The sequence below is a fragment of the Homo sapiens genome, chromosome 17 (assembly GCF_000001405.40).
Source record: "Homo sapiens chromosome 17, GRCh38.p14 Primary Assembly".
In the NCBI taxonomy this organism is placed as follows: Eukaryota; Metazoa; Chordata; class Mammalia; order Primates; family Hominidae; genus Homo; species Homo sapiens.
The window spans coordinates 34,497,440-34,506,016 of record NC_000017.11 but is presented as its reverse complement, the minus strand read 5'-3'; the positions used below and the strand labels follow the sequence as shown (position 1 = coordinate 34,506,016).

The window sequence follows — 8,577 nt, the reverse complement described above, 5'->3', positions numbered from 1 at the left end:
CTTTGTGTTTTCATTTTCTTAGAATTTATTTTTAGGTTTGCATCCAGAAAAATTTACTCTTTGTAGTGTACAGTTCTGTGGGTTTTTTACAAATGCACAATATCATGAATCCACCACCACAATCATGATACAGAATACTGTCATCAGTCTCCCAAATTCTCTTGTAGCCTGTTCCCCTAAGCATCTCCCTGACAGTCACTAATATTGTACTTATCCCTATAGTGTTCCTTTTTCCAGAAAGTCATATAAGTGGAAACATACAGTATAAAGCCTTTTGGGTCAGGTTTCTTTCACTTAGTAAAATGCATTTGAGATTTATCTATGATACGGCTGCAGGTATCAGTAGTTTGTTCCTTCTTATTGCTGAGTAGTTTTCCATTATATGGAGATACTAGAGTTTAGAGACACTATTGTTTGTTTATCCAGTTCCCTATGGAAGGGCACTTGCAATGTTTCAGATTTTGGCAATGATGAACAAAGCTTCTATATACATTCATGTGCAGGGTTTTTTTTTTGTGAACATACATTTTCATTTTTCTTGGGCAAATACCTAAAAGCAGGATGACTGGGTCATGTGATAAGCATACGCTTAACTTTATAATAAATTGCCAAATGGTTTTCTAGAGTAGCTGCACATTTTGATTTCCTGCCAGCAACGTATGAAAGTCCCATCTTCACCAGCACCTCATTTGTATTGTCAGTTAAAACAATTTTTTTAGCCATTCTAGAAGGTATATTGTGGCCTATGACTAAGGATGTGGGCATTTTCAATGTGCTTATTTGCCATCCTTATATCTCCTTCAACGAAGTGCCCAAATGCCCCTATATCAAAATTGTTGCCTTTTAAAATTTATGCTAAATTGTCATGTATCCCAAGAACTTTGCTCCCTTGCCTGAGGGGCCTACAAAAGAGCACTGTTGCTCCATCAAGAACCTTTGCCAAGTATTGAGAAGGTTGGTGGGTGGTGGGTGTTATCTAGAACTGAGAACCACAGCAGAGCTATACTCTATTTTTAGTAGCTGAGAAAATTCTTTGAGATTATCTAGTCCAATCTGGTTCTTAGTAATAAGAAAACTGAAATCTAGAGAGATGTTTTGGCCAAGATCCCACAATTAGAAAGTTGGTGAATTGGCTTAAGAACTTAGATGGACTGACTTCATTTCTAAAGGTTCCAGGCTTTCTCTGCTGTAGACCTTAGTGCTGTAGACGATACTGAAGACATATACATGGTCCCAAGCCCTGGAAAGTTTTTGGGAGAAATGAAAGAAATGCAGGAAAATTTGAGGATGAGAAGATACACATGGACATGTGTTTCTGCGCTGCTGAAAATACTGGAGGAAATGGAGTGAAATGATGGAGTTAGTTAAGCAAAGCTTCCCAAAGGAAGGAAACTCTGGGGTCCAATTTGGAAGGAAAGCATTAAGTCCATGTGTTGGTCCCTGTGGCCATGTGTGAGAGTTCCATCTCACAAGAGGCTGTGTAGACCAAGAGTGCTCACCAATATATACAATAAGGGCATTTTCCTTATCTGGCAATATACACAAGCAACTATAAGGCTCAAAGTGAGTTTTTCTTGGTATATTTTTGTGGTGAGTTTTCAGCTCTAGCTTAACCTCGAATCTTCTTCACTGCCCTTATCTCCTGGGCCTCAGGTGGGGAGCACCTGGGTGACCCATCCTTAGTCCAAACCGCAGCTGCCAGAGCTTAGATCCAGTGAGCAGCAAGCTTCTCGGATTTACTTCTAGTTGAAATCAATATTTGCTGAGAAGAATGCATCTTAATTTCAGTGGCCTGTTCTTGGGGCGAGAGTTGCTCTAAAACAAACCTCCAAACCCGCAGACTTAATGTGTCCTAGTTCAGTTGTTTAGTAAATCTCTCTGTACAGAGAAAAATCCATTAGCTGTCAGGGGCAGGGATGGGGGTGGGGAATGGGAAAAGAAAGCAAAAGCCCGAATGGGGCCTCAGCAGCAGAGATAGGACTTACAGCCCAGAGCGCCCACGTGAGTCCTCAGCCACATCCCTAGGCCCAGGCTGGGACTTCCCCAGCTTGCTGCAAGCCAGGAGGCACAGCCAGTGTGTCACTGACAGAATGAATGGGAAGTGGAATGAGACCTCCTTCCCCAGCGCCTGCCTGGCGAAGTGTTTTCTAATTGCCAACTGTCCTGTTCTAAATCTACAGGAAGGCGATCGATTTTCTTTTCAGAAGGACTGGGGGAAAGCAATCATTTACCCCAGAACATGGGCTTTAATGAATCCGTGAAACATATGAGGTCACCCTGATTACATCTTCCCCTGACAGCCTGGGATGGCTTTGCAGCTCTCAGAGGACCTCCTGAGTTAGGAGGTTTTCAGAATCTAGCTCCCTCCTCTGCTTCCTTCATGCTGCTGAGTCAGGTTGTGTTTTGGGGCTTTTCTACTTGGAAGGCAGGATGCTCGGTTCCAGGCTCAGCCTTGGATACATTATAGTGAGGCAGTGAGAGCCAGCAGTGAGAGCTGTGGCCTCTGGAGTCACAGTGACCTGAGTCAGAGTCCAGCTTTGCTACTGTCTATCTGTGCTTCTCTAGGTGGCAGATTTAACTGCTCTGAGCCTCAGTTTCCTCAAGCCTCTATAGGGAAGAGTTGTTGTCAGGATTCAAGGTCATATATTTAAAGCTTCAGGTGTATAGTCAGTGGACAAGGCAAGGTAACACTAATTGTCACTCTAGCATTTGTTTATCCTCTCTATATAATGGACAGAATATTATTTATTTCACAATGAAGAAAGAACAGAGAAGGGGAAGCATGAACCTCCTATGACCTGGAAACTAGCAAGAAATGGTAGTATGGGAGGTCCTTCCTTTGTCAAATGGTAAAGATAAAAAATGAACTCAACAGATAGGAACAAGATCTGCAGGAAGTTGTGGGGAAATCATGCCCTTTTGCCCCAGAATGGTGCATTAGAATCCTGGACTGTTGCCTCCGCACTAGGACCTTCCATATTTAGCTTATCTCTTAATTTTAGAGCAGGGGCAGCCAACATTTAGAGAGGGACAGAAACTTGCTTGGAGTCACTAGCCAGCTGGTAATAGTACAGTCTCCAATCCAGACCTACAGACTCCATGTCCCCAGCCTTTTCTCCCTTGGTAGGTTCCCACCTTTGCAAACTGAGGTGATGCTGATGAAAGGGGAGGAGGGAGCAGAGAGGAAGAGGTATTTTTACCTTGAATTATTTTTATTAAATGTCACAACGGCTTTGAAGCACTTGGGTTCCGAGTAGACAAATCAATGAAAATAATTACAGTGAACATCCTGCCTTCCCACTTCCCTCCTCTTTCCACCCCCGCAGCTCCCTTGAACTCACAGAGAAGCTGGCTAACTTAGCCTTGCACTCCAGTCCCGGGGGGAGCAAGGGCAACAGCCTCCTCTGACCTCTGCCTTCTCTTCACTTTGTTTGCAGGAAGCTTGACCCTACTCAAGGCTCAAATATTGGAGAGAGAAGCAGCTCCAGCAGCAACAGCAGCAGCAGTAATAGCAGGAAAAATGAGCCAGAGGCCAGAGAGACATAAGCAACTCCTACAGGGATGTACAAACTGGGAAGAAGGCTTTTATTCTTAGAACCCATTTATGGCTTAGAAATAAACTTTCTAACATGCCTCATATTTCTAGTCAGGTGACAAGATTAACCAAAGGCACATGAATGAAGTCTTCATGAATTACCCATCCATCCATCCATCCATCCATCCATCCATCCATCCATCCATCCACCCATCCATCCATCCATCCTTTCAACCATTCAATGACCATTTACTGAGGATCTACAGGAAATGGCATTGTAGTGGCAGGGGTCTGATAGCCCTGATTCAAGTTCTTACTCTGACATTTAAGAGTTAGCTGTGTGTACTGAATATCTTCCATCTGCCCTCCAGATCCATTCCCTACTACCTGTGCCAGTGAGGCTGACCTGTATCGACTGCATTGGTGGGCTCCCTTTGTCCCCTGGCTTATGATTGGGTTCATGTCATAGAGAGCACCAATAGGAGATGGGAGGGAGGGGGAAAAGTGAGGTTGGAGTATTTAATTCTCCATTCCCCCTCAACACATGGTGTCATTCAGCTAAAGACCGTGACTGCTGACAGCTGGCCCTCTCCACACAGCCCCTTCTATCCTTGGGTTCTAGGAATCAGCTAAAGACACCTGTAGTTACCTACCCCCAGGTACTTCCACATCTCTGTTGTTTCCTTATGCTCTATGTTTTCACAAATAACCTTTTATTAGACTCAGATTAATTCCATTTTGGTCTGTCTTTGGCTTCCTGATATACACTGTGTGACCCTGAGTATGTTATTTTACATTTTTGAGTCTCGATTTCTCTGTGGGTAAAATGGGCAAATAAAATATGCTTTGTAGGATTGTTGGGAGGCTCAGGGCAGATAGGTGCTGTGCCCCAGGTTGCTCAGCTAGTTAAGGGGAAGGTCTGGCAGGTGAAGCCAGAGAATCTAAGCTGTAGCCCACCCTTCTCACTATACAGTTCGATATGTGGTCCTTGGTGGCCCTAAGCATTTTGGGATCAGTGGCAACAGAGGCTCACATTAGTGAATCAATGTCCTCTCCAGCCTCTTAAGACCCTCCTGGCCAGGCTGGCATTGGTATGTTGGATTCAGCACTCAGGTGGGGGCTTGAGGTGCTGTGACAGGGAGAGAGCATCCTTCCTCCTGCTGCTGCAGGGGAGTCTGTTAGAGAGGCTGGGCTGTCAATTTCATTCAGTAGTGACTTTTGAGGAAAGGATGCCCTGGTGTTGGCTGATGTTGTCAAGGAAGTACTTGTCAAATTTCCTTCTTGGCTGAGCAGATGGTAATGTAAAGGGAGGGGGAGCTGGTATTTGTGGCGTGATCTCCGAGTACCACACACTTTACAAATGAATTCTCTCATCAAATCTCTCAGCAATATACGAGGTAGGAAATTTCATCCCTATAGTGCAGGAAGGAAACTGAGGCAAAGAAAGCTTAGACAGCTTCTGCAAGGTCCACAGCCAGTAAAGCTTTGGGTAGGCAAGACATAACTCAGACCCTGTTTCCTTTGCAGAGACTTCACTCTTCCTATGATACAAGGATAAACAGCAAGAAACAGTCTATTTTATTTGCTTAGCAATTTATAGTTCTTCCTGCAACTTCTGGGATTTGGGTCCATCAATTACACTTTCTCTCTCTCTCATATTTTCAACCTTACTGTCTTCCTTGGCTCTTTCACCTCAACATAAGAGTGTACTTAAGTATCTTGTGCCCTTGGGATATGTGCTTGCTCAACCCTGCTGCTTCTTCCAGTCACCACCTTTTCTCTTCCTTGCCCTACTCTACTCCCTTACCTCCCAGACTGTCCACACCTATTGGAGCCAGGCTTCTGTCCCCATCAAGCCCTGTCCAACCTATGACTTCCTGGTTGTCAACTTCAGTGGGAATTATGTAGTTCTCATCTTCTTCAGCTTCATTCATTCATTTATTTGACAAATATTGTTGAGTTACTACTATATGTTAAGCATCATTCTAGGCCCTAGAGATAAAGTAATGAACAAAACAGAAGCGAGTCCCTGCTGTCATAGCACCTACATCCAAGTGGACAAGGTTGACAGACTACATACTATCATGGAAACAATGAGGCAGTGGCAGTCAGTGCTATGGAGAAAACAGAGCAGGATGAGGGAGATAATCGTGGAAGACGCATGATGTTTAGGTGGTCATGGAAAGTCTCTGAGAAGATGAAATTTGAACTGAGAACTGAAACAAAACAAGGGAGGAGGGTAGCCATGTGGATGCTGGGATGGAGGGTTCCAGGTGCTGGAGCAGCAAGTGCAAATGTAGCAGTACATATGGTGAGTTTAAGAAGCAGCAGGGAAGCCAGTGTTTCTGGAGGAAAGTGAGTCAGGGGATGGTCGTAGGAGATAGGGTCAGAGTTAACAGGGACATGGCCATGTAGCCTTTCAGGCTGGGGTGAGAACTTCGTCTGTAACTTTGAATGAGAAGAGAAGAAATCAAAGGACTGGAGCAGAGAAATGAGTGGTCTGACTTACATTTAAAAGCATCCTTCTGGCTGCTGTGTAGAGAATAAACTAAAGGGGGCAGGGGTGTGGCCAGGCCCCTCTGCAACATGTGACATTTGGGGCTATTTCTTCCTTCTAGAAGCTCTATGCCTCTCACCTGTTGCCTGCCTCCCTGACCAATTCTTCTTAGTCTTAGGTGAGTACTCTGCCCTTCCCTTTTCCTATCAATGGATGTTATCAGTCACACAGCTCTGTCCTTGGTCCTGACGTCCCTCAATTACTCTAGTAAGAACTTACACCCTCCCTGGCTTCAAATGCCTGAACCTACAGGACTCTGCAATCCTTATTCCCAGCCCAGGCATTGCTTCTGCACTCCAAATGTGTTTATTCAGCTGTTTTCTTGACTATTCCACATGGGTTCCTCATCTCAAGCACCCATTTACCACAATATATTCATACCTGAATATTCTCTTTTATCCCCCAATTCTGCTCCTTTCCCTGTATTCTCAGGCTCTGTGTAGTCCCCTGCATTTCCCAGTCACACATGCCAGACTCCTGGTCTGTATCCTCTATATCCCACTGCTTCTCCTCTTCCTAAGACCTAGTGTCTCCTAGGCTAACTCCTCCTTCTCCACTTCTACCACTACTTCATTTCAAGCATGTATCATTACTTATGTGGATCAATGAAGCCACCTCCTAGTCTGCAATCTCCCCTCCCGAGCTCAACTTTGCTTCACTCCCCTTCTCGGGGCTTGATCTATGAAATACATCTTGTTATGAAAGTTTCCTGTCTAAATTCTCCAACAGCCTCCAATTTGCTTTCAGATATTAGCTCATATTTCGAGCTTCATCCCTCAAGTCCTCTTCCAAGCACTTCAGGATCCAGCAGTTCCCAACTTCTCATTGTTCCCCAGGTTCCTCAGTGTTCCCATGCCTCTGTGGTTTGTTTATGTGGTTTCTTTGCCCTGTGACTCCTCCCCCATCTCTGCCTGATAAACATCTTCTTTTCCTATAAGATCTCACTCAAAGGCCGCATCTTTTAAAAGGTATCCCTCACATTTCTAGGTACAGTTCTTAGCTCCCCTTTCCATAGGTCTGAAACCCTTGGTTCCTATCTTTGTTTATTTATGAAAGCTCAATTTGTGCCAGGCATTGTGCTGTGGTGCACTTTTATAACTCCAGTCCTGAAAACAGCTCTAGAGAATAGCTAATCCTCTTCCCATCTTGCAGGTGAAACAATCAAGGCTTAGAGGGGTTAAGTAACTTACCCAACATTTTAGAGCACCCACCAAGGGGTGGGGGTAAAATTGAACCCAAGTCTTCAGGGTCTAGAGTCTCTTTGCTATGTGGCTTTTCCCTCTTCCTTTGGTAGTGCAGTGTTATCATTTGTTCTCATGTTTCCTCCCCTGACTATGTTCCTCAAGAGCGAGGACCATCGAGAAAACTCTATCCCTACTGCCTAGCATGGTGCTTGGCTTGTAACAAGAATCTATACCTAGTGTTTGTTGAGTGACTGTGTGTGCACATAAAGAAGGAAATGCAAATACCTTCCCTGTCCACAATCCCATTGAATTTTCACAGCAACCCTGAAAATGGTCATTAGCACCTTCCTTTTCACAGCCCAGGAATCTGACACTTGGAAGTAGAAAAGAAAAATAAAAGAAGAAAATCCAGAATTGAAGCTTTCTTGTTTCTTTGGATTTGAGAAATCCAACATTTAAGGCCTCAGGGTTGAGCTAGAGCAGTTCCAGGAGCAACTTGCCAAGAAACAAGAAGTTCCCCAAGAGGATGAAGTAATATTTCCAGAGCTAATAAAGCCAAGGTTCTTACTGCATCCTCCAAGGGAGAGAAATTAAGAGCGCAGCCGCAGTCCTCATTGGCTCCAGGTGACCACAGAGCCCAAAGTCACTCCTGTCAGGGGGTTTAATTTGTGCATCCCGGAAACCCCCACATCTATTGAGTGCTGACAGTGTGCACCATGCTGTGCTGGGCCTGGTCAAGTGGCTAAGTTAATACCACTGGCTGGTTGTAACATCATGGGAAATGAACTCTTCAAAATAAAAAAAAAAAAGCAAAGTATATCATTGCAAGCAGAGAAAAAAGGATCATTGCAGATGCATATTAAATATATCTGACATTGTGTATAATATATTTTCAATGCCAGGCAACTTGTTAGTTTCCTAATATGTGTATTCTGGCATGTTTGCAAATATGTTATAGAGCTCGGCAAACAGCTCTGCAGGCATGCTGGAGGGGCTGTTCCCATTTTAAGCTGATGTTCTCTGTGGTGTTTAAACTTTCTTCTCCCTTTGTGAACCCAGGCCTGCCTCAGTAGCTCTGAGAGAAGAAACACATCTCACGATCATCCTGTTTATTCTATCACAGAGGGACAGAGAGTCAAGGATCTACCAGCGCAGTGTGACAAACTCCCTGTGAAGGGTGCAGTCCTACTCTCAGGCGGTCTTAAAATCCAGAGCTACAGGGGCCTATGGAGAGCATTGAGTCCTATGGCCCACTTGTAGCCAGAAGAACTGAGGTCCAGAGAGGAAAGGTACTTGCCTAA

General features: G+C 44.5%; 1 annotated feature.

Moving 5' to 3' along the window:
• Positions 6,160–6,360: a silencer, noted in NCBI's record as "peak2809 fragment used in MPRA reporter construct". NCBI's record gives its function as "represses an SCP1 promoter by STARR-seq MPRAs in K562 erythroleukemia cells {active_cell/tissue: K562}" and the evidence as "EXISTENCE:reporter gene assay evidence [ECO:0000049][PMID:32103011]".